Consider the following 27,381-nt stretch of genomic DNA (forward strand, 5'->3'; position numbering starts at 1 on the left):
TCAGTACTCTTATAATTTCTCTAATTTGCATGTTACAGAACTGAAGCCAGGACAAGAAATAGAAATTAAAGCGAGAGAACATTACCAAGTGGTCGTTGACTGAAATAATAATCTGCATGTTGTTTTCCCTTCTCCCTCCTGCATGCAGGGATTTGGTTTCGTAACTTTCGAAAATAGTGCCGATGCGGACAGGGCGAGGGAGAAATTACACGGCACCGTGGTAGAGGGCCGTAAAATCGAGGTGCATGTTCAAAATATTTTCCTTTTCATCTTTTTTATAAATGTCTGCTTCACGCTCATTCGTTGTTCCAGATGCATCATTGGCGTCTTGTATGTGACCCTATTCCCCCTCATTGTTTATATATATATATATATTTTTATATATAAAAAGGAAAACTGGCCTTACTTTTTTTTTTAATTTTACTTTATTATGTTACTCTTATACCGCTGAAAGGTGGATGGCAAACGTGAGACAAAAGAAAGGTTAATCGGAAAGTGTTTTTTTGTTGTTATTTTCCATGTTTTATAATCAATGGGTGCAGTAGGTTCCAAAGAATAGACAGTATTGCAAACCAAACAAAATACAGAACAGTTTCTTTTTCTTTTTCTTTCCACTTCAGGGTTGAAGAGGGATCCACAGTGGTTGGCAAATTAAACCAAATTGGGAAAGCAAAAAAGATTGTTTTTTTGTTTGTTTTTTTTTGTTTGTTTGTTTGTTTTTTGTGGAAAAAAAAACAAAAAAAAAAACGAGAGGTTTTTACTAAACCTCTCGTTTTTTTTTTTTTAAGAAGCCAGTTTGAATTTCTGTATTCTTTTGATAACAAAGTGAATAACCAAACAGGATTTCCTGTTCAATATCTGGCCCCTGTTCACTGAAAGCATAAATACCAAAATACTGACATTCAGAGTCTGCTATTTGTCCCACTGGGATCTCCCGCAACATAGCCACAGGGTCATATTTGTTAATTTTTTTTTTAATACCAGTTACAAATGCTTTAGTCTTTGGAGTAAGATGTTGCATATTTTGCCTTTCATTTTCCCCTTCGACGATAACGCTTAGGCCCCTCACCAAACTCTCAGTAACCATGGTAACTGTATACAAACCCATGCTGGCGATGGTGGTGAATGGTAAGTGGTGAAGTCCATCTGCCGTTTCACGTATTTAGTGCTGATATATCTATATACATATATATATATACCACGTGAATTTTTTTGACTTGTCGTATTAAGTTTTCTTGATGCTCTATTTTTTTGGATATTGGTACGCCTGTAATTGAGTGTACGTTCTAAGCTAGCCTGGGAGGCACTGACTGGATTGAGTTATGACCGGTGCACATCTTACTCAGATTGTTAACCCCATATTGTGTTAAACAATGCACCCTCTCTTTTATCCTTTTGTTAGCTGTGACGTTAAAGCTTGAATGATTTTGTTAATTCTTGCGATGTAAAAGGCTCTTGTTCCAAGTGTTGAATGCTAGATGTTGCTTTCCTGATGGTTCTTTCCTCCTAAAGTGTTGCACACGGCTAAGACTTGTTTGTCCCTTTTTTTGACATTTATGTTCCCTTGTACCTTGTCTCTTCTCTCTTCTCCACTGCATGCTCCTTCATATGAATTTTATTTTATGTTTAAAAAATATTTCTTGTTTCTGTGTTACCATGGAGTACACGCATGCTTTTAAATCTTCAATTATGCAGAATCTTTTAATTTGCTTTTACTGTCCCTTTATTAAACACTCTTAATGATATGACATTGCTTTATTGAAATGATTTGTAAGTTAAACGGTTATGAAGTAAATGTAATTTTAAAAATGTATGATTTTGTTATGCACCTACTGCCTTTTATAAATTAAAATGCATTTTACTTTTTAGTTTTCTTTTTTAATAAGTAATCACGGTCATAATGCATGCAACTAATTGAATTGGGAGCTGGCCCTAGAATATGTGCTTACTTGAGTTTTCTATGTACATAGGTAAATAATGCCACAGCACGTGTAATGACAAATAAAAAGACCGTCAACCCTTATACAAATGGTAAGTAGAGATTGGCCTTTTACAAGAAATTCTCTCTACTTCTGACTCTTTAAGTAATTTAACCAGAGATTCTATTACAACAAGCTGTGTTTGCCTGGGCATTGACACTGTGTTTTTACTACTGACCTGCTACAGTGAACCACCTACATCAATAAGATCATTTTCACAACAAAGGCAAATGGAGTGTTCAGGTTAAGTGTGCCTGCCCTTCTTCCCTTCTTTCTAGAATAACTCTGTTTGGGATTGAGATGCACTAATTATTTGGAAATTAGTTTGCTAATTTCATTGGTTATTACAGTAAGTTGAGGGGAGAATTGGAGGTTTAGTTTGTTTGCTTTTCAATACCATCTGCTCGTTGATTACTAATCATTCCTGGACGTGCAGTCACGTAATTTATTCTGTCTTTGAGTCTTCTCCAGAGAGATTAGTCATTTGAAGTGGTTTAGAGTATACCTCATGTCTGAATTCCACAGGGTTAGCAGAATGTGTGAGTGGGTTATTTGTTCTTCTCTGGGCTGCTCAGTGTTATTTTGGGCTAGTTGAGAATGTTGCTTTGTATTACAGACCCCATCAGGACAATGCAATTTCTGTTTTTATCAATAAAACTTCTGAAAACTCCTCCTAAAAAGCATTCACATATGAGTTATTAAAAATGTTTGAACATTTTGATTCTTTAATTCCTCTCAAAATAAGTATCTCTTAAGATATATGGGGAAGAAACCTGCCACTGTGTTAATCACATACTTAATTGTACCAAAAATTAAAGCAATGCAGTAAGTTAAAGTATATACACATGGTAGAATATTATACCCATTAAAATGAGCAGGATAAGGATCATAAAGGGTCTCATAATTAAAAAATTGACATAAATGTTTGTCGCATAACTTTAGATAAATGATGATAATATGCCAGAATGCTAATGGTTGTGCTGAATTGTGAGACTGGCAAACATTTTTTCTTTGATTCAGGTTCATAAAAATAATATAACTTTATTACATCAAAAGGAGATATATGGAATTTTATACTTCTAAAATTTTAATTGCACATGGAGATACGGATTTTTTAAAGTAAAAAAAAAATTAAAAGAAACGTTAAAGACAAGTCTAAAATATATTTTAAATAACCCCATTGCCACCCTGGTTTCCTACCTCCCCCCTCACAGGAAGCCGCTATTACAGATTGTTGTCTATAGTTTTATTTTGCGTATTCATGCCTATATATGTAGTAGGTGTTCATTTATAGTATTCATAGTGTTGTATACATTTTTATGTGAATGATATAAGGATACACCTGGCATTTTTAATTGGGTTTTTTAATAAATCTATATAGAGTTCCTTTAATTTAATATATACAGATTAGACTAATTCATTTCAGTGGTTATGTAATATTACACAAAACAGATAAATAGGTTCAGTCAGAACTAAATACTGATTGTTTATCACAATAAAAGAAAACAATGATCTAGCAATGTATTATCATTTGGTAGTTTTGATTTTCCTGTTTCTTTTGCCAGTGACTACCAATTTGACAGTCAGTTTGCTCTTAATTTTAAAAGGGGCATCATTCAACAGGGACATACCGTCTATATAATAGGGCTCTAAGTTGAAAGACCAGAAGAATTACCTATTCTGCTATTTTTCTCAGCTTTGTCAACCAAGACATGCCCTTAAATGGTATAGACTATTTTCACACCAGACTTTAAATGCCCAGTGCTGAACTGAAGCAAACCTCTGATTTATATGTCATACAGCCTTTCCAGTTGGGTAAAAGTAATGACTCTGAAACTTGCCAGATTTCATATATGGTGACATCAACCTGACGGTTGGGCATAGTCTTTAATTATGAAGTTGCACTGGTGCCCAGGCACATGTGTGCTTGTCTACATATGACTAGCTGCTCATGTGTGCTGAGTGAGAAACTGGAGCGAGAAAAGCCAAATATTTCATAAGCCATGTGCATGTATATTTATTTTAAAAGAGTTATTGATCAATTTTATGACCAGGGACTGAAAACTAGACCTGTAGGATTTTTTAACACAATTCAAAGCCCATTTATAAATAACTAGCCTTTCTGGAATATGAGGTATGCATTATGTGAGGCATTTTAAGTGCACTGGACACAAATGAAGTCCTATAAAGAGGACATCATTATCCCTATTTTAGAGGTGCAACATTGAGGCTAGAGAAGATGAAGAAATTAATAAAGACTTTTTTTTTTTTCTTTTTTTTTTTTGAGACAGGGTCTCACTTTTTCACCCAGGCTGGAGGGCAGTGGCATGCTATTGGCTCATTGCACCCTCTGCCTCCCAGGCTCAAGCAATCCTCCCTGGTAGCTGGGACTACAGCCACATGCCACAATGCCTGGCTAGTTTTTTTTTTTATTTTTTGTAGAGACGGAGTTTCACCAAGTTGCCCAGGCTGGTCTCGAACTCCTGAGCTCAAGTGATGTGCCTGTCTTGGCCTCCAAAAATGCTAAGATTACAGGCATGAGCCACCACTTCTGGCCTAGCCTTTTCTTTTTGTTATGAAGTAACAAAATCTTGTGACCATGCCTGTGTGTATCAGGCATCGCTTTCCCTTTGTCTTCTTGTAGAAATGCACTCAAGTGGCAACCAACTACAATAACAAAAAAATTATTAAATGTGCAACCTCGTGTTCCTGCCAGATTTTGGCATGCACATCCCATGTCCCATTCCAGGTAGCCATGCACTCAGTTTCCAGGAATAAGTCAGTCATATGGGTCTGTCATCCACGTACCTGCAAAAGGGAACTCAGAGAATTGTTCCTGTCACACATACTGTGTATGGCACCTAAGGGGTTGATGGATAGACACAGTAGAATTTATTTAAAACACAAATGTCAATTCTAATTATATAAAGACTTTGGCTTCTGTAGTGGAGATTATGGAGAACTTTGGTGTTCAAAGAAAAGTAGTTCTCCAAGCTATCCCAAGTTTCAACTCAGGAGTATCACCACTACAGATAAATTCCCTTAAGTGGCAATACAATATAACTGAAAAAATATAGGGCCCTTTCATATCCTTAATAAGCAAGACGATAGAGTTATGGCAAAAGAGGGTAAGTCGGGACCAATAAAGTCACATTGAAATGAGAAAATTAAGCCATCGGTGAGGTTCACTCATTAGCTACATAATTCATTCTCACAAAGCATAGAAATTGTACTTCAGCAAAATTATAAATTACTGGAGCTATCAAAGTTTCAGGTCATCTCCAGGTGATGAAATATAGTTATCAATGCCAGCATCACCTTCATGCATTACTTCAATCATGTATCCAGAAAAACTTTTAGCAGCTGCAAAGTTTCCAGTGATAAATAAGACTGAATTCTAAATGTGATGAGATACCTGTCCATTATAGAGGGTTACAGTTAATAACATGGAGGGTGTAGATACTATTCTCAGGATATTTAAACAATGACATAATGAAAAGCTGTAGAATGAGCCGTAGGCTTCTGGACATTCTATTAAAAAGTTCCACAAAGAGGGGATTGGACTATTTCTCTATTGCTATTTCTCTGAAGGACACCTACCCACACGGAGGAGTTGGGGTTTGCTGTGTTCTTTGGGGATCAAATGTTGGATCTGCAATACAAGATTGAGAGCTGAATTCACAAGGATTTCCTGGATGCTGGGGAAGCATGGGTGCTAGACATGGCTTTTTCATTTTCTTAGAGATGTTAGGAAGGATGAAAATGGGGCAAACATATTCAGCGCTCCAGAGAGAGGCATACTTTGTTGCCCGGATCAGTTCTTCCATTCACTGGCTCTTGAATTGTAGGAAGTTGTTTAAACTCTCCATGTGCCAGCTCTCTAGTGGGAACTGTACAAATGATGGGAACTACATCACAGTTCTTTGTGATAATTATGAGAGAAAGTGCTCAACACAATGCTAGGTATGCAAAGTGGCCTAAAAGATTATTTTTACTACTATTTATAGCGCAGTAGTATTTGATTACACATAGTTTCAATATTAAGTCATCATATTATTCCTTTATTGTCATGGGTAGTTGAATTCCCTGAGAGATACTAGTTTAAGGATCAATTCTTCAGATGCTAAAAGGGGCTGAACAGGTAAAATCAGCAAACAGACAGTCTTTGAAAAACTCAGTCTTTTGGGACTAGCTATTGTTTTCTTACTGAAGTAAAGCAAAATATTTATCTACGAGGAAAAATCAACACCACCACCACCACCACCACGAATTAACAATAAAAGATCTCAAACATTTAATCTCCCTATCAGTCTCACAATGGGGAGCAGTGGTAAATGTGACTAAGTGGGGAGTTGAATGCAGTAGCCCTTGACCACCTCTAATAAGTCTGTCTGTGAGGCATTCTCAACTTAAAGTTACCATTTCTACCGATGTTTCAAGAGAAATAGAAATCCTGTATTTTAGACGGAATTTAAATTTTGGCAATAAATACACGCCGTTAAAGAATATTCAGTGAACCCAAACAAAACACCTTTGTACCCAGTGCGAACCTCACTTCTTTTTGTTTGGTATTTGAGAGTTGCCACCTGTACCATGTCAGCTGCCAGGTCTCTGACATCCTTAGTATATGTCTTTAGAAAGCATTGACAGGCAGTTTTTGTAATTCCTGTAGCGTACATAAGGGTGCTCTCTGGAATGCGTTTCTTTGATATGTAACCCAGCAAAGCCTTAAGAGAAAGCCTGTGCTGATGTTTTTTGTGTACACATTCAGACTTGGCCTTTTAACACCCAATGCAGTCATAGTTAACACTGGAGGTCTTAACCAGCATATTTTAGAAATACTGACACTTGACCTTTGACAAGCTAAATTTGGGGAGGGGAGTGCAAATTCAGATGTGGCCCCTTGAGTCCTGGCCACGGAGGGGTCTAAACTGCTTGCGTATCTGATACAGAGCCAGACCCCAAGACGTCTGTTCTCTGGCTCCATTGCCTTGTTGTGGGGCTGGGGGGGCCCTGGGAGGCTGGGACCAGTGGGCCTTATCAGCCATTCTCCTTTTGTTGTAAGCCTCATTGTTCAGTTTAATGTCCTTGATCAAAATCTCTGAATTTGCAAGGCCTGGGGACATACACAAACTGCCTAAGAAATTAAAAAGGGGATCATTTTGTTCATCTTCCTGACAGTGCAGGCTCTTATCTCCAGCAGGGTTATCCCAAGGGTCTCTTTCAGGTACGAGGAGGAGTCACAGGGAATGTGGGTTCATTTGCATGTGATTTGCATATATTTACATAAGCCCGCATGAGCTCTGTAAGTCTGAGTGGAGGCGATTTTCAAGGGCTGGATTCTAGACCAAATGGACATAACAGACATTTACAGAATACCTTTTCCAACAGCTGCAGAATACATCATCTACTCATCAACACACGGAACATTGTCCAGGATAAGCCACATGTCAGGCCACCAAACAAGTCTCAACAAATTTTTAAAAAATCTAAACTATATCAAGTATTTTCTTAGACCATAATAGAATAAAACTAGAAATGAATAGCAAGAGGAACTTCAGAAACTGTACAAATACATGGAAATTCAACAGTGTGCTCCTGAATGTCCATTGGGTCAGTGAAGGAATTTTAAAAATTCTTGACATAAATTAAAATGGAAACACGGCATGCCAAAGTCTATGGGATACAGCAAAAGCAGTGCTAATCAAAAAGTGTATAGTAATAAACGCCTACATCAAAAAAGTAATTTCAACTAAGCAACCGGGACAACAGTCATCCCTAACACGATTCTTCTTTATTTAATGTAGAGTCTATGGAAGGAAGCAGGTCCTTGAAGATTGGAAGGAGACATAATCAGAGCCAAAAAAAAATTTGTCTATTAGGAAAAACTATATTCCTTTAGTTTCTTTAGAGAAAAACCAAGTAAATATTTATGGAATGCTTACTTTGCCAAACAACATTTTAGGTGCTGGAGATTCATGTTGGACAGCAGTCTTGCCTGCTTGACTGTTAATTTTAATGAGGGAGAATGGTTATAAAAGACAAGAGCAAGCAAAGAAAGAAAGAAGCTAAATCCAGATAGCATTAACGGCAATGCAGAAAATAAAACTGGGAATGGAATCATGGAATCCAAGAGTAACTCTAAGAGGAGGTGGGAAAGTGACATTAACTGGCATGTTCTGAAAAGACTCCAGAGCCCTAAATAACATGAAGTCGACTTTGTGAAAAGCTAGAGAGTTCTCCAAGAAGAAGGAGAAGTGGATACAAAGAGACTTTGATATACGGTGGTCTTGGGGGGTTTTATAAAGATGAAAATGGCCAGTGTCACTGTAGCTGGGAGAGACGGGGAAAGGGAAAAAGGGAAGTGGTACCAAAGAGGTACCAAATAGTTTGGTTAATGGTTAGTGTGTGCTGATTGACTAAGGTAAGACATGTGTGCTTATCTCAAATTGGGAAGAAGCTATTGAATTCTGAGTATCAGGATGACAAAGCTGATGTTTTTTTTAAAAAAATTGCTTTGGTCACCATGACCAGAATGGACAGGGGGAAGGAGGAGGAAGAGGAGACAGTGAGAATTAGGGCATTTCTGCTGTTGAACTTGTCCAGGCAGAGATAGGAATGCCTTGGTCTGCAGTGGTGGCAATGGAGAAGAAGGGAAGGACTTTTCAAGTTTTAACCAACAGGATTTTCTAATGGATCACACATGGGGTATGAGGGTAAGAGAAGAATCAAGGAAGTGTTGATGAATTTTATTTTGAGCAACCAAGTAGATAGATATGCCATTTGCTAAAGGGAGAAGGACTTGCTGAGTAACAGGTTTCATGAGTGGGGGGAGAAGAGGGAGACTAGAAATTGGGTTTTCATTCCCATCGCAGAGTTCAGAAAGGTCTTTGGTCTCCAACAGTGGGAGTGGAGTAGCCTTGTTTAGAAGGGATCAAGGATGGGAAGAAGGTTGACACCTGCACTCATGTTCCCATGATGACCCAAGCATTTCATTTTGCAGCACACAGATTCCCAGCTGGTTTCTTGTAGAGGAGACTTTATCAATTACCTTTCTCACGATTAATACTTGCAAACATGAGATAGCACAGATCTCCTGATGAAGGAGAGTATCATTTATTTTCTTTATTTTTTTATGAAGAGATTGCCATGTGCAGACTTGGCAAACTCATAACTTGCAGAAAGATGGGGAAATAAACAGCAGATTATAGGGGGATAGACAGATTATAGATACGTTTATAGATAGATCAGTAGATAGATGGATAGGTGGGTAGGCAGATGAGATAAACATGATTTCTAGGTAGCCTCAAATGCCTCTGAGAGATCTGGAATTTTTTGCTTTGTTCTTAGAAAATGAGAGATCATTGGCAAATTTATAATCTTTAAGAGCTACACCAAAATTCACTGATAAGTATACCTTCAGTGAAAAGGAAAAGGAAGTCTTATATGCAAAAGAAAGTATTTAAGGTAGTAAGGATATTCAAGAAACAAGACCTGAGATGCACAGTATGGGAAAGACACCATCTCCACTACCAATAAGAGGTAGGAGCATCAGTAGAGTATGAGATGGGTAACAGTGGAAAGATGAAGAGTGATCACTTAATAATTATTCATTTAATATGACCCCATATAGAGTTTACAAATTCTAGGTTTCTGTGAAAAACTAGAAAGAAAGAACATTAAATATGTCTGCAGCTTTATTTTCAACTAGTTTTTTGTACTTTTTCTTAGACTCCAAGTTGAAATGTAGATATTAATTCCCATATCCTCAGGAATTAGACTTTTTTTTAAAAAAAGGAAGCAGTGGAATTTCAGTTGATCAAATTGAAGTCATTTCCATACTCATAAAACACATTCTGAAATGTCTGAACTAATATTTATTTTTACGTCACTATAGAAATTCTTATAAGGCAAGATGTGATTAATACAAGAGAAGAGGGTGTCAGTATGAAATTTCAGAAACCGCTAGGGCAGTAGGTCTCAGAATTTCATGTTTCTTTCTGTCACTCTAAAAAGGGGGCCCAGGAATTAAATATGCCTCCCAGGTAATAGAAGTATAACACTTTGAGAATCTCTATTCTGAGATCATCCCGGGGGCTGTAAACCACCTAGCTTCTTCAGGTTGGAACTGAAAGTTCTTAGAAAACATTCTTATCAAGTTTTAGAAAGTTCTGGATTTCGATAGACATACTGGCCTGTCTGTTGAGTTAGTGAGCCTCTGTTTTCCTTAGTGGATGTTAAGAACACCTCTGGGCTATTCTTAGTTCGGGCAGAAAATCACACCTCTCTCTTCTCGGCAAACCTCAGAAAGTTCTTACTGTCAAAAATACCTTCCTTCACATTCAAACTTTAATCATTGCCTTCTCTCAAAAACATTTATTAAAGGACCTTTGGTATTTGGCCTTCTGCTCAAGGACTCAGAGCAAAGGACTACACACCTTACCCTCCTCTGTCTTTCAAGGTTTTTTTTACTTCTTGAGACAGAGTCTCACTCTGTCACCTAGGCTGGAGTACAGTGGCACCATCTTGGCTCACTGCAACCTCTGACTCCCAGCTTCAAGCGATTCTCATGCCTCAGCCTGATTAGTTGTTACTACTTTGTATTTTTAGTAGAGTCAAGGTTTCGCCATGCTGGACAGGCTGCTCTCTGGAAACTCCCAACCTCAAGTAACCTGCCTGCCTTGGCCTCTCAAAGTGGTAGGATTACAGGCATGAGCCACGGTGCCCGACCTGCATGGATTTTTTTTTTTTTTTTTTTTCCCGAGAGAGTCTCACACTGTCACCTGGGCTGGAGTGCAATGGCGTGATCTCAGCTCACTGCAACCTCTGCCTCCCAGGTTCAGGTGATTCTCCTGCCTCGGACTCCCAAGTAGCTGGGATTACAGGTGCCCACTATGATGCCTGGCTAATTTTTTGTATTTTTAGTAGAGATGGGGTTTCACTATGTTGGCCAGGCTGGTCTCAAACTCCTGACCTCGTGATCTCCCTGCCTTGGCCTCCCAAAGTGTTGGGACTACAGGCATGAGCCACTTCACCCAGCCCGCACGGATGCTTTTATGAAGACTTAGCCAGCAGGAGCAGGAAACAATAACAAAACCCTAAAACGTGATCAGTCTCTGGAAATTGTTCCCCTAAATAATGCCCAGCATATATGTAATGTGCTTTCCAATTTGAGAATATTCTTGTATGCTCTTTTTTTGTGAGTAAAGATTTCTAAAGGGTCAGGATTCATTTTACAAAAAACTCTCCATCCAGAACATTTGGAAAATTACAGGATTCCATTAATCATATATACAGATTATTTGAAAGTTACCTTAGATATCATACATTGATTAAGAATTTTTTACAGTTCCTGAATGCATCAAAATGTAGGCCACAGTAAATCTCTAGGGGATAAAATATCATTTTCTTTGGTTTTTATGAAGCACTTTGGAATTCTCTAGTATCTCGAGGTTATAATTTGGAATGACAATTGTTAGAATATATTGCTGCCAAGAATTTTGTTTATGCAAGCTTTCTAATTTTTGTGAACTTAATGCAGAGGGGTGTGATGGATTATCTAGCAGTGATATATAAAATAAGAAAAAATTAAAATTATTATAGTAGTTCTAAAAAATATTGATGGAGTAGAAAATTAATTACCATGTCATTTTCAAAGGGTTCACTTGTGGCTGGTCAGTAGTTTCCATTCCATTAACTTGCACTGGCAGAAAATCAAAGAAGGGCATAAATATATTTTCTTATGTGTGGTTTTTAAGTATTTTTATGCATGCCCAAACGACACCTCCTTTACATTTTAAAATACAAAATGAGATACTTTAACCCATTTGATTTGTGATTCATTTGCAATTATATAAGATGTTGAATCAAATGTGATAATAATGTTTTTGTGTATTTGTTTTAAGGCTGGAAATTGAATCCAGTTGTGGGTGCAGTCTACAGTCCCGAATTCTATGCAGGTACAGAGTTTCTCTTTGCACGAAGTCTTCTCAGTCTTTTCTAAATGTGCTTTGCCTGCCAAGAATGAATGAGTTTTGTAAAATAACCTGAAGCAAGTGAATTCCTATCCTAACAAGTTCTGAATGATTTCTTTGGGCAAAATCAAGAGTGCTTAAAACAGTTTAAAAATTACAAGGGAATCGTCTAAGTTTCATGGTTGGGGGATCAGCGTGGAGCCACTGCTCCTTAGGACAATTCACATTGATTTTGCCCTAAAAAAAGCATTGTGACTTTGTTCAATAGTGTATTGAACAAATGGAGAGCTGCTCACACCCATTGTATTTCAATGTGCCTGAATGTGTGTTTTAGCCATACATTTCCATTTGGGGTTGGCATTTTCTTTTTCCTGGCAAAGCAGAGAGTCGAGTTGGCTTAATTATTCCAATAATGTGGGAGTGATTTAGAATTGCCAAGGGAAGGCCTTTTTCGATAACTAAAAAGTTGTCCGTCTTCGTTCATTAATCAAATTCCCTTAGCAATTCCTTTTCTCTCTACTTTGCCTTCCAGAATATGTCTCTCTCCTCACCCCTTCCCTGCCTAAGCACCAATTACCTCTCAGCTGGGAAATCCATTCTCTTAGAAATTTTGGGAGAGCATAACCCAGAAGCAGTAGTGGCTGAGATTTCATGTCTCGATGTCCTCGGCTTGGCCCGTCACTACTGCCTGTATGTCTCCTTGCTCTTGAACAAGGCTGCATTGAATACCTAGGACCTTAGTAGGTTTGCCACATGGCTATTTAAAAGAAGTCTTTCTTTGATGTGGCTCTTGCTTTTTAATAAGGAGAAATAAATAATCCGTTGACCTAGAGCCACTCCCTTAGTAACCTCTTGACGGTAAGTCATACCCCTTGCTTTGTTTCTTCCTGGGCTGCCTAACTTTTGTCATTTTCCTAATACTGAACACTGACCCTTGTAGATGAGAAAGGAACACAGAAAACTTAGCTACTCTGGCACAACAACCAGTCTGACAAAATTTAAGTTAAAAATCTGGTAAATCTGGAAAGGCTCAACAGGATAACTGATTCCTGGATTTTACGTAGGCGATGTTTGGAGTTGTTCTTCATGTATGAGTTTTACCGGGAGCCTGGGTTAAGTCCAGGGATTCTAACACTGCAAAATAGCTGTGTTCACTCTTGTGGGGGAAGAGACTTAGCCGTCAGGCTTTCCATGATCATATTGCAAACCCTACCACCTGAGAAGACACCTCTGCTGAGTAAGGAACATGGAAACCATGCCTACACAGCTCGGGTTCAAATTCTGCCTCCCCTACTCACCAGCAGTGTGACTCTGGGCAAGTTACTTAACCTCTCTGTGCCTCAGTTTCCTCATCTATTAAATGGAGATGATAGTAACAAACTCATAGTAATTTATTAGAATTAAATGGGTTAATATATGAAGAGTGGTGTGTAGCCAGCACCGTGTAAACATTTAGTAAACAAAAATGAATATGTTAATCTCTTTACCAGGAAGGCAAAGTTAGCTGCATATTCTGCTGAATTTTGAGTATGCTATGAGACAAAGAGATTCTTTCCTTCATTGATGAGAGTACTAGTCCTTCAGTTCTCAGTGTGTTCATTTAGGGGGTGTTAATTTCTGGGATCGGGGGCATGGCAGTTTATTCAGGGGACACACAGAACATGGCATGTATTGCTGGGATGCATCTTTGTGCAAAGCTGCAAGGAAATCAAATACTCCAAATGGTTGAAAAGTCAGACAACAGCTTCCATGTGTCCGCAGCAGGCACTGCCCATGAATGGAGTAGTTAGACTAAAGAAATGTCAGTTTCTCCTATATGCACATATCTGAGTGCATATTTTCAGCCTAAAATAGTCCAGTGAAGAACAAGAAGCCTTCTTGTGGGGAGGAAGGGTATGGATGTGAGTGTTGTGGTGGAGAGGGCAAAATGCATTTTTACATTTTTCTGGTCCTGTGCGATGGAGTTGCCAGTCACCCTTGGGTCTATTAAGCAGGAAAATACCTAATATCCCCGTTACTTGTGCTTTCGTAGCCACAGACATATCTGTGGGTGTTGAGGAGGACATTAAGATGAGAGAAACAGTTAAGACTGATTTGTAACTATAAGAATAAATTCATCTGCATGACTTCTAGAACATTAGAGCAGCTATTCAGATTAGCCCAGGGCCCAGGTTCAGAAGTTAGATCATTAAGTTAGAGGAAAAGAAAATGTTATAATGTAAGTTAATATTTACTGGATACTTTCTATGGGCCAGCACTGTTCTAAGCACTGTACATAAGTTTAATGTATTTAATGCTCATGGCGATTTTCCAAATGAGGATACCAAAATGCAAAAAGTTGGTATTACTGCTCTGAGATTTCAGCTGGTCAGGAGGAGGCCAGATTTTGAAATCAGGCTTTGATCATCTCAGAAATCGTGTTCTTTACAACCAGTTGATACTGGTGGGGTTTTGTTTGTTTGTTTGTTTGTTTGTTTGTTTTGAGATGGAGTTTTGCTCTGTCTCCCAGGCTGGAGTGCAGTGGCGCGGTCTCAGTTCACTGCAAGCTCTGCCTCCCGGGTTCAAGTGATTCTCCTGCCTCAGCCTCCTGAGTAGCTGGGACTACAGGTATCCGCCACCATGCCCGGCTAATTTTTGTATTTTTAGTGGAGATGGGGTTTCACCCTGTTAGCCAGGATGGTCTCCATCTCCTGACCTCATGATCCGCCCTCCTCGGCCTCCTGAAGTGCTGGGATTACAGGTGTGAGCCACTGCGCCCGGCCCCCTTTTTTTTTTTTTTTTTTTTTGAGGCAGTTTTGCTCTGTTGCCCAGGCTGGAGTGCAGTGGCATGATCTCGACTCTCTGCAACCTCCGCCTCCCGGGTTCATGCAATTCTTCTGCCTTAGCCTCTCGAGTAGATGGGATTACAGGCGTCCACCACCATGCCCGGATCATTTTTGTATTTTTTTGTAGAGACAGGGTTTTGCCGTGTTGGCTAGGCTGGTCTTGAACTTCTGACCTCAAGTGATGCGCCCAGCCTGTTTATTTATTTTTTTTTTTAATATTAAAGGTCATGATTCCAATCGACTGTCTCCTATGATCATGCTACTGCTCTGTGTGCAAACCAGTGAAATAAAAGAAGAGAGGTAACATAATCATTCTGTATGATTCCAGCTGCCACCACCACCACCATATTCACAAGTGTTACATGACAAATCTGAGTATCTGTGTTTCATGCTGCCACTATCCGGATTATCCGGAAAATCCACATGCTTTCCTCTTTTCAGCTGTACGTTTGTATGTAGGTAGACAGAGCTCATAATATTCAGAAATGTGGGGACATGTAGCTGTAATTTTAACACTGCAGAGCAATTCCTTTGAAATATTTGAAGACCTGCAAACACTGAAAGTCTGGCTGGCTTAAATCTGAAGTTTCAGGCACCTGCATCTATGGAATGGACCTATGCAAAGCGATAGATGCAGAGTGCATTCATTTCCATATCCAGGTATAATTATTACTGTCACGCATCTACAGATCCATGACTAAGAATTTATGGGGCATTTAAAATTTCCCCAGCTATAAAAATAGTCTGAATTTATCTTGCAATTCTGAGTGTGCCTCAAAGCTGAAATGAAGACCCCTTGTCATTGATTTGCTTTGTATTTTTAGTAGGCTGGCTCTGTATCTGCTTAAGATAGAAAGCCAGACTTATTAGTCATTTCTCTATATAAGGTTGTGTGTTAATGACATGTTTTATAATATTCTCATAGTGTAATTATTTGATTTTCTGAAGCTTATGCAGAATTAACAACCCAGCCTCCCGTTGTCTCTCAGAATGAGGCATGAAAAGTTCACATATTTTGTAAATTAAAATCAATATTTTCAATCTCTCCTAAAGGTAATTTTCTTAGTTTAGTAGACTTGTCCCTAACATTTATTTTCTCTTTTAATTATAAAATGGCAAGTTATTGACCAGGCGTGGTGGCTCACGCCTTTAATCCCAGTACTTTGAGAGGCCGAGGAGGGTGGTCTCAGGAGTTGGAGACCAGCCTGGCCAACATGGTGAAATCCTGTTTCTACTAAAAATACAAAAGATCTAGCTGGGCATAGTGGTGTGCCCCTGTAATACCAGCTACCTGGGAGGCTGAGGCAGAAGAATCACTTGAACCTGGGAGGCAGAGGTTGCAGTGAGCCAAGATTGCACCATTGCACTGCAGCCTGGGTGACAAGAGCAAAACTCTGTCTCAAAAAAAAAAAAAAAGGCAAGTTATTGATTTTTGTATGTAATGTTTTGACTCCCCGAGTATGTTTTTATTGCAAACTTGGGTGGGGTGGGGGCGAGGCAGGAAGAGCCATTGCACTTAATGAGGACCTTTAATTACTATTTGCATTGATAAATTATGACATTCCTTCTCCCTCACACGTGCCTTCCAGAGGAAGCATTGAGAACGTTCTAATGTATTTTGGATGGTTTTTCTTTTCTGAATTCTCATCAAGTCATACTTATAAAAATCTTTCTAAATGCTTATTCCGTGCCAGTCTTCAGAGCAGATACACATACATCAGCACATCCCATGACATATATTAATATAAACCTTCTCCCAGGAGAGATGGGTAGTTTTCTATAAAGCAAAAACAGCATTGATAATTTCTTCTAAAATCTAATCATCTCCAGAGTCCTTGAGGCTTATTCAAGACAAATGATTTGCCGGGCGCGGTGGCTCACGCCTGTAATCCCAGCACTTTGGGAGGCCGAGGCAGGTGGATCACGAGGTCAGGGGATTGAGACCATCCTGGCTAACACGATGAAACCCCGTCTCTACTAAAAATACAAAAAATTAGCCGGGCGTGGTGGTGGGCGCCTGTAGTCCCAGCTACTTGGGAGGCAGAGGCAGGAGAATGGCATGAACCCGGGAGGCGGAGCTTGCAGTGAGCCCAGATCGCGCCACTGCACTCCAGCCTGGGTAACAGAGCGAGACTCCATCTCAAAAAAAAAAAAAAAAAAAAAAAAAAAAAGACAAATGATTGTAAGTCCCCACACACAAATCCAGGTGAGTCATGAAGTCTTTGGCCAATGTGTATGGCCCTTCTTTAGAGTTTAAGTAAAATCAAGGCAGTAAGGAGAAGTAGACTCAGAATATCTCTACCCAGTAGCAGGCCTCATGTTATCTAGTGTAGTTAAAAATAGTGTTTCCAAGAATGTGGAGGAATAGGCCTCAGAGGGGATTCTTACACTTTCTCTGTCATTGTGAGAATTTCCCTTGTCTTCTAATAAAAAAATATATATATATATTTTTAAAAGCAGTATCTTCTAGAGATAATCACGATATCCAGCCAATGAAACTGTTGATTTACGGCACCTTTAATCTTCATGAATAAGTAAAGCAAAATCAAAATAAATAACAGAAGGTTACACAAAGTTGTCAGCACGGGGCTGTCAAATGGTAAATTTATCTGTTTCTCAATTGCCAGTAAAATACACACTGCAAAGCTCACCCACGTTGTATATCATATCTGCCAACTCATTTCTGTGATTAAATATTCCATCAGCGGGACTATAAGGCAGCAAAGCTTAACAAGATTCATAAGATGCACCACTTGAACACACATAACTCACTTCCGTGGATGGAGAGCACCCCGCCTGCAAAGGGAAATTGGAATTGAGTTAAATTACTCCATGAGACGTGATCAATAGGGAAAGGCAAAGATCTTCTAACGGAAATGCAGATCTAAGATATAGTTAGGTCCCAGAGATGAGATACATACAATTAAAGTAAAAATAAGGAGATGCAGAGTAGATCAACTTGAAAACCTTGAAGAAAACAAAAACCACCCCTAGGGATATTTATTATTAGTGGAATTTGGGGGGAATAAAGAGATTCTGAATGGATACTCCTGAAAAGAACAATTTGTGGTTTTGAGAGGGAAAAGAAAATGACAGGAACTAAAAATGCGCCATGCCTGACTGCAAAGTCACATTTGAAAGGTGGTCAGGTCTTGAAACAAGCTCACCCTAGGGTTACAGGGGCGATCAGATAATATGAGCATCAGAGAACATCACAGACTGTAAAATAGAAATAGAAGAGATTCATGTGATCACCAAAGTCACCTCGACTGATTATATCCATTTCAGAAAGAACCTGGCCACGGATCACATGACTTGATGCTGGGCTAGGTGATGGGAAAGTGGATTTGGATCTCAGTATGAAGTTTAAAAATGAAGAGGGTGGTTATAACACTCTTTGATTGCTTATCTCAAAAGGGCAACTGTATTTGACCTCGGATTTACCCATACCAAAGGTATTGGTTTTCTGTGGGCTAGAGTGAACCATGATTCATCTCAGAATTGGGTCAAAAGAAGGTCTATGAAGGCTCCCTCACATTTTTTCCTCCCACTTCCACCACCAAGAGTCTATTACCGTTAAGAGAATGACTTTTAGTCATACTTTTAGCTGTACCTCTTTTCAATTCCCTTCCTACAATTTGGATACAATAGCATCTGAGAAAAGTTAAGATTGTCTAGAACCCACCTTTGATCACTGTGGTCCCTGACACAAGTTTGCTCTATTTTATTCAGATTGGCATTGGGCTCAGGGTGATTTGGCTATAAAAAGTCCTAGGTATAAAGCATGCCCTGTTTGGGATGAAAGAGCACAGTGTGGGTTTACAAGGTAACTGTTACCATCCAAGCCCTTCAAAGCAGCAAATATTCAGGTGCCCCTCTTGGCTCCAACACTTTCTCATACCCACCAGGAGGACTAGACTCGAATCAATGGCCATAGGGAGCAGTTCCTCATGAACCATTGACCTTTGGCTCTGGGATGTTTTGCATAGTTTACGCATCTGCCAAATTCAAATGCAGTGCACTTCAGTGAACTGGAACAGGAGAGTCCAGATTTAAGTCCCCGAGCAAAGGATTTTCAGCCTGGAAATGTTCCACTTCAAAGAGTTTATCTTGCACATCTGTTTACCTTTGCCTCCCCTTTTAGTTGTAATTCACTTCGCTTCTCTCCTCTCCTCCCCTCTTCTGTCTTATCAGATTTTATTCCAGCCCTGCCCATATTTGGCCTTAATTTTTATCTGCGTCCTTCTAGATCCCACAGAGGGAATGCAACTCATCTTTGATGAAGCCTGTGGGGTTTTTTGATCTTCAGATAAGATCAGTACTTGCTTATGTGCTAAAAACTGCATTTTTGAAGTAAATTGGTTCTTTTTCTTGTGTGTGGGAAGTCTGTCAAGAACTGCTCCCCCCAAAAGCAGGGGGTGTCAAGGTAGTCCTTGTACAAGAAGCTTCACATCCAGGCTATGGGAAGCGAATGAGGTTTGGATATCCGACTCTGGAAAAATTTCACAGGGGAAGTTTTAAGTTACCATTGTCCACATAGTGAGAAACTCAAACCATCAACAACAGCAAGCCACTTGCAGGTACTTGCTCTGTGCTGAACACCTTGTTTCTCCTCAAATCCTTATGAAAATGCTATCCCATTATTTTCATGATCAAATTATGAAGTCAAGGTTTCTGGGAAAGCTTACCTCATTCGCCAAATCACAGAACTACCATGTGAAAAATTCTGGTTATTATATAAAGGTCTTTTTTCCTAAGTTTCAACCCCATGTTTTTTCACTGCTTTGCTACGCAGCATCCTCAGGAGGTGTAGATGAGGGCATGTCCTCAGTGTCTTCTATTCATGAGGTCACAGAATATAATAATGAATGAAGGCCGGGTGCGGTGGCTCACGCCTGTAATCCCAGCACTTTGGGAGGCCAAGGCGGGTGGATCACGAGGTCAGGAGATTGAGACCATCCTGGCTAATACGGTGAAACCCCATCTCTACTAAAAATACAAAAAAGTATCTGGGCGTGGTGGCGGGCACCTGTAGTCCCAGCTACTGGGGAGGCTGAGGCAGGAGAATGGCGTGAACCTGGGAGGCGGAGCTTGCAGTGAGCTGAGATCGTGCCACTGCACTCCAGCCTGGGCAATAGAGCAAGACTCCATCTCAAAATAATAATAATAATAATAATAATGAATGAAAACACATTTGCATTTAATATTGTCTGCCACATGCCAGAGTTCATGTTGAGAACTTTACATATATGTACGTAAATTAGAAGTTTTCAGGAGAAGTATTGTTACCTTCGATTTGCAGGTAAATTAGATCCAGTGAAGTTATGATGCCAGTGGGTGCTGACTCTGAAAGTTAAGGAGTAGGGCCAAAGCTGTTATCTTTGTGACTCCAAAGCTCATTTTCTACCTACAAGCTGCCTCCCACCAATGCTTTAGTTAACCCAAGTCCTAGATTAGTGATTCTTAATATGGAGTGACCTTTCTCTTAGGGGAATTTGGCAATTTCTGGAAACATTTGTTTCATTGTTACATCTTGGGTGGTGGTGGGGGCGGGGATTGGGGAGTGTTGTTCACTGCTGACATCTAGTGGGTGGAGGCCAAGGACGCTTCAAAACACCCTGCAATGCACAAGACATTCCTTGACCACAAATCGTTATCTGGCCCAAAATGTCAATAGTGCTGGGTTTGAGAAATTCTGTCCTCATTGACGCTATTCGAGATGCCACATATTCACGGAATACCTTAACAACTCTCATGCCCCACTGGTTGCTACCACTAATAATGTATGAACAGCTGCAGTCATCAATGGCAGTCAAAGAATTTGAAGACTTTCATGTAAATGTTTCATCTTTGGAGCATTGTATTGTGATTATTTACTCCAGAAGGGAAAAGCATAAACTTTGATTTGATACCACACAGCTGTGTTGGGAGTCCCCAAGACCACTCTCAGGCTCCATGATTGATTAGAAGGACTCAGAGTTCAAAAAGGCTGTTACACTCACAGTTAGTTTATTATAACAAAAGGATACAGATGAAAAATTAGCAAAGAGGAAAAGTACATGCAGTGAAGTTTAGAAGAAACCTAGCAAAAGCTTCCAGGTGTCCTCTCACCGTGCAGTCACACAGATGTGCTTAATTTTTCCAGAAATGGCATGTGACAGCACAGGCATAGTGTTATCAGTGAAGCTCACCTGAGCCTTAGTGTCCAGCGTTTTTGTTAGTGGTTACTCACATAGGCAAGCTGCACCTGCATGACTGACCAACTCTCAAACCTCAGCCCATGCTATGGAGGTGTGAGGAACAGGAATTCACCATAAATAGTTACCATAAACAATTGGATCAAACCTATATGGTGTGGTCCAAGGCCTCAGGCATACAAAAACAATTTTGTTTTTGTTTTTGGGATGGAGTCTCTCACTCTGTCACCTAGGCTGGAGTGCAGGGGCGTTATCTTGTTTCACTGCAACCTCTGCCTCCCAGGTAGCTGGGATTACTGGTGCCCGCCACCACACCCAGCTAACTTTTGTATTTTTAGTAGAGATGGGCTTTCATCACGTTAGCCAGGCTGGTCTTGAACTCCTGACCTCAAGCAACCCTCCCACCTCGGTATTCCAAAGTGCTGGGATTACAAGTATGAGCCACCATGGCTGGCGCAAAAATAGTTTTATCAGGCAGATAATATTCTAAGGCCTGATATTTTATCTCCCAGGAGCTGGCCAAAGTCCAATCCTAAGGACAAGCTGTTGTGGAAAATGTGCAAGGTTTGAGATAGCCCAGGCCTGCTAGAATCCACCCTTCCCTGCACAACCATTAAAAAAAAAAAAAAGTAAACTTGCAATTTATAGTGACATCTGTAATGATGGTAGTAGTGAGGATGATGATGGCATAAGAAACATGATACCACTGGGTAGCTTGACTGTAAGAAAACCAAGCCAAATTTAGTTATGAAAGAGAAAAGAATGTACAGCTTGTTAGCTTAAAGCAGGGGTCTTCAAACAACTTATCACTGTAGGCACAGATAGTGTTTTTGACTTTGTAATCCCTATGATCCCTGTTTCAACTACTGAGTTCTGCCATTGCCGTGTAAAAGTAGCCATAGACAATGTGTAAATAAATGGGCATGATTGTTTTCCAGTAAAACTAAGGACGTGGAAATTTAGATTTTATACAATTTTCATGTGTCACAAAATAGTTGTTTTTTTTCAAACATCCAAAAACGTGAAAGCCATTCTTAGTTTATGGCCCGTACAAAAACATTGTCCCTACTTTGCTGAGCTTGGCTTGAAGAGCTCAGCGGTAATAAAGCCACCAGTTTAAGCCCTTGAGAGTTTTTCTTTTGGTTTTTTAAATTGCACAGCTTTAGCGGTTATATACTACATGAACCCATGACCTTAGCTGGATGGCACTCAGTTGTTTGATGTTCATCAGGGAAGGGCCAAAGAGACAGACCGTGTATTAACACTTAATCCTTGTTTCCATGAATTCACCTTTTATTGCAGAATTATAGTATCGGGCGCTAGACACTGTGCTAGGTGCCGAGGTACCAAAACAGACCCAGGCTTTCCCTCTAGAAGTCAACAGGGTAGTAGAAGGATGCAAAACAAACTGTCAATGCGGGTATAGTACACAGTGATACCTGCTAGAGCCAAAAGAATAACAAGGCTCTCTGCATGAGGAGTCAAGGGGGTGGTGTAAATTGAGTCTTAAAGGGTAAGAGTTCACCTGGTAAGAAAGTGGGTAAAGATCATTGCAGGAGGGAATATGGAGGTGGTTGGTAGGGTCCCAAGCTGTTTCTCAACCTTTATCTTTAGAATCCATTGAGAAAACTTAAAAAAAAAATACACATGCTTGATCTTCACCTGATACCTACTGATGGGAATTTCTGAGCCAAGTTGACGTTTTTTCCAAAGGCTAAGGTATATTGATCTGTTGAGATTAGAGAGTACCTTCTAGAGAAAGGTTGCATAAGACCTTAAAATTTTACATAATGAAATCTGAATTTTGGAATTTATCCTTTCAGTGGTAGGCAGCCATTGAAAGCTCTATTAAAAATAACAATTATAATTAAAAATAAATAAGGAAGACACCTGTTGGTGAGTTAGTACTTGTATCTATATTCACACTGAGTAACAGTCTTATAATTAAGACTTGTATTATTACTAATATGTGCGTGAAGCCCTGTGGTGCTGGGAGACTTAGGAGCAGATTATCAACTGTTCAGCAACCCTGCAGATTGGGTTCTTAATTACTAATCTAGTGCCTAGGACAAAGGCTATTGTGAAACTTATTTCGTGGTTTTCTCTAAATCTTTTAAGAAAGTAAATTACCAGCGATTTCAAACGCAAGGTGACATGTTTTTTTTTAATGTTTTAACTTGTTATCATTAGATTATAAACTCTTTAGTTTGAAAGACTTTTTGCTTCCCACTTTCATTGTTCTTTTCAAAATTTATTGTTCTTATTTCCCCAACAAATTAAGTTGGTGTATAAATAGAAATAAATTCACCCAATAGTGTTTAATACCCTTTCTGTTAATTACATGTAGATACTCATTCTCTACATATAAAACAGAGCTGTCCTGTTGTCTTTTGAAAATGTAGTTTTGAAGAACCAACTGACAAATGGCAAAACCCTACTTTGAGTAACTTCATCAGTGACAGTTAATGCATTTCTAGAACTTCCATGGAATTGTTATAACACATTACAGTCGACATATTGGTTTATGAAAAATTAATAAAGCCAGTGGAAAATGGAATTCCGCATCTGCATTAGCTATTTACACCAAAAGAATCAGCCAGAATTAATTATGCCGTATGCTACGTTCTAATGAGTTTTTCATTAAACTGTATACCATTATGGAAACTAAACAAGGATTATTCAAAGAATAATGCCAACGGCTGTTATTTTGTTGAGAGATTAAATTAGTTAATGGGTTATACATTTAAATCTGATGCAAAGGTTAATCGATGCACACTTATTGTATTAAACCCAGTATCATTTTAAAACACAAACACCCCAATATCACTGATATTTCCTCTGGAGAAAAAAAAAACTATTTGTATGATTCTAGTGTTTGGTTGATGTGCATGTGATATTGTAAAGATTGAAATCCACCCTATTCTCTTTCATTTTTGAAAATGATTTTCACTAGCTGAAATATTATGTTTGTTTTTAGCCATAGCAGGGGAAGGGGCAGTGTGTGCGAGTATGTGTGTGTATGTTGTGGCAGGCATAGACAACTTCATCCAATCACTCTTTGAGAGATTGAAAGGTGACGTGTATTTTCTACTCTCACCAAAAAAGTCAGGTTAAAATTTTAAGCCTAATCTGAGAAGGCTTAGAAGGCAATTCAAGATGAAGGATCTCATCCTCATTCCACAAATAGAGTCCCTCCTAAATAGTTCTGTAATAGTACTTGAAATATGAAAGAAGTGACAATAGAGAAGCCTGTCTAGACAGCTTTTTAGGCTCTTACAGCATCTTAGAGGCTCTTATTCCCAAGAAGATAAGAAGAGAGTATAGAAGGCCTTCTAGGTTCTTTGCACAGACTTGTAAATTCCACTGTTTTCAGTTGAATGACAGTTTCTAATTTTTTTTTTCCTAATCAGAGATTGCAAACTAAAATGTTTTTAGGAACAAGCTATGACATAAATAAGTGAAATGTGCCAAATTGGAGGAGCTGTGTCTCAATTATAGCAAGTAGTGGCTTCTCACCTTTGCCTACAGTGGCTCTGCCGGACAGGAATCCTAGCCCAGACACCTATGGTCTGTCCCCTGACTTCCCACTAGAAGCTAGACATATCTTATCACATTAAAACTCCTAAGTTTAAGTGCTTGCAATTCATTTAATACTAAAATATTTGCCATTAACTATTATGTTTAGCATTATGTTTAGTGGCCAAACACAATAGTTCAATAGCTATAAATTTGCTATTTCCTTTCTGAAAACCAAAGTAAGTCCTCAGAGCATCATTGTTTTAGATACCCAATAATAATTGCTATTTCCATGATTATGATTGATTCACTTACTGATTACTATTTGCCAAACACTTTCATGCCATAGTTGTAATCCTCACAGCAATATTCGATCAAGTACACATTTTTATCTCTATTTGACAGATGTAACCACTGAGGCTCAGAGAAGTACAGAGTTTTACCCAAAGTCAACTCAACTTCCAGTCAGCAAGATCAGGAAACAAAACAAAGTTAAAAGTTTCAAAGCCTACACTTTTTCAGTGACACTATAGAAATCTCAGACGTTCATTATTTCTCCTCTGCATTTGCCTCCTCTATGTCTTATTTCAATCTTGCAAGTAGGATTTTTCTTATCTGTAGAAGATACATTCTGCCCAAAGGCTTCCTTGGTTGGATTTAAAACCCTATCACAGATTCTTAAACATGATCAGGAGGTTCTAGCTAACATCTTTAGCCAGGAAGAGTCAGGTGTTTCCTGCCAGATGGCAGCTTCGGAATTCTTAGATGTGGCTTTGTTGTAATGGGGGTAATGGATATTGATCATTCTCATGCTGAAGGATATGTTTTTATCAACTCAGGACCAAGTATCACCATTGATAAACAGGTGTAGCTTTGAGAGAGAGTGTCTGAGCTTTGGAGTCACACAAAACTGACTTATAGTTCAGTTTTATTATACTTTTTCTCTGAGCTTTCATTTCCTCTTGGGTTTGATAAGAAAAAGACGTGCATGTGGAGTACATCTTGTATAGCACCTGAAACCTAGGGCCACCTTAATGGGCACTGTCAATATTAGCTGTACATGAGGTTCCTATGTAATCCCTAGCAATTTACTGTTGTCAGCACCATCTGCATCCCCTGGAAGCCTATGAGAAATGCAGAGTCTCAGGCCCCACCCCAGACCCCCTAGATAAGAATCTGCATTTAGAAGAGTCCCAGGGGATTCAGAGCATAGTAGAGTTTGAGAAGCAAGGCCCTAGTAGTCTTATCATCTATATATTGACACCTATAACTTTGAAGGACAAACATCTTGCAAGATAGAACTTATTTTCATTGTTTTTGTTGTGGCTGAATTGATAGACCTCCACAAATACTCTATGGAATAACTTTTTGAATTTTTTTTTTTCTTTTTTGAGATGGAGTCTCCATCACCCAGGCTGGAGTGCAGTGGTGCAAGCTCAGTTCATTGCAACCTCTGCCTCGCGGGTTCAAGCAATTCTTGTGCCTCAGCCGCCCAAGTAGCTGGGGTTACAGGCATATGCCACCACGCCTGGCTAATTATTGTATTTTTTTGTTAGAGACGGGTTTTGCCATGTTCTCCAGGCTGGTCTTGAACTCCTGGCCTCAAGTGATCCTCCTGCCTTGGCTTTCCAAAGTGCTGGGATTACAGGCAGGGTCACCACACCTGGCCTAATTGTTTTATTGTTTTGAAAAACAATCCAAAAGAAATTTTGAGCAAATATTTTTAAAAGCCTGTGTTTGAAAAAAGTTTGTTTTGAACAAAAATGAAATAAAATTAATTTTTTGGCAAGTATTGATCAAATGATAGCCTCTGAAATACTTAGTGCCAGCTCCCTTGGGAAGGGCTAATGGTGTACTGAGAGACAGTTACTGTTAGTATTTTTGCAAGCAGTAAAGGGATCTTAGAACACTGATCAGCAAACTTTGTCTGTAAAGGGCCAGACAGTAAACACTTTAGCCTCTGCAGGCCATAAGGTCTCTGTGCAATTACTCAGCCCTGTCATTTTAGCAGAAAAGCAGCCATACACAAAAATGAATAGATGTAGCTGTCTTCCAATGAAACTTTACTTATTAGATACTGAAACTTGAGTTTCATGCAATTTTCACTAGTCAAATGTTACTGTGATTTTTGTCAACCATTTAAAATCGTAAAAAGCATTCCTAGCTCACAGACCATACAAAAATAGGTGGGGGCTCGGGGGAGGGGAGCAGTTGGATTTGGCCAAAAGTCTGTAGTTGGTCAGCACTTGATTTAGAAGATGATTGTTAGAACCATGGGTCCAGGAATCTGGTTGGTATGACTTGCAGTTTCAGCATCACGAGATCTGTGTCACCTCAGGCAAGGAAAAAGAGTTCTCTATGCTTCAATATCCTCATCTATTAAATGGGTATAAAAATAGTGTCTGTCCTACAGGGTCATTAAGAGTAAATGATGATCTAAGTTAAAGTTGAGCAGGATACCCAGTGATTCTCAGGTATTCAGTAAAACACTTTGGGAACTCTTATTGTTAGGTTTATCATATTAAGTTAAATATTTCCTGTCAATGCCACTATTAGCCTACATTTTGGCTGCAGGAGATTAAGTGAACAGTTGGAGTGAGTCATTAAAATTTTCAAACAATAAATAGTCAAGGAACAAATTCTTCTTTGTATTATTCTTGTGACTTTTCCAAAAAGTCTCAAGTTATGTCAAAATAAAAAGCAAAAAGAAAACAAACAAGAAGTGGTGTATTTTTTTTTTGAATATTATGAAAACCAAAGCTTATGAAAATAAATTGGAGTGAGGGATTATTTACACTATAGACAGATGCGCTTCAGGGCCCCTTTAAATATGGAAATCCCTTGGTACAATTAAAACATGATTTGATTTATAAGAAGTAAACATACAGAG

General features: G+C 39.1%; 1 protein-coding gene across 52 annotated transcripts in view; it reads left to right on the forward strand.

Annotated features, from left to right (window-relative positions):
- The window catches only part of RBFOX1 (RNA binding fox-1 homolog 1), a 2,473,620-nt gene that overhangs the window by 2,355,680 nt on the left and 90,559 nt on the right, over window positions 1-27,381 (forward strand). For 45 of the 52 annotated variants that reach the window (NM_001415887.1, NM_001415888.1, XM_017023318.3 and 42 more), the window contains 3 exons: window positions 149-241; window positions 1,971-2,031; window positions 11,885-11,938. In NM_001415887.1, the coding sequence (NP_001402816.1) occupies window positions 149-241; window positions 1,971-2,031; window positions 11,885-11,938 (208 nt within the window). The remainder of the gene's footprint in view (window positions 1-148; window positions 242-1,970; window positions 2,032-11,884; window positions 11,939-27,381) is intronic. The other 7 variants (NM_001415908.1, NM_001415914.1, NM_001415910.1 and 4 more) reach the window with 1 other exon arrangement.

The sequence above is a fragment of the Homo sapiens genome, chromosome 16, assembly GCF_000001405.40.
Source record: "Homo sapiens chromosome 16, GRCh38.p14 Primary Assembly".
NCBI classification, from domain to species: domain Eukaryota; kingdom Metazoa; phylum Chordata; class Mammalia; order Primates; family Hominidae; genus Homo; species Homo sapiens.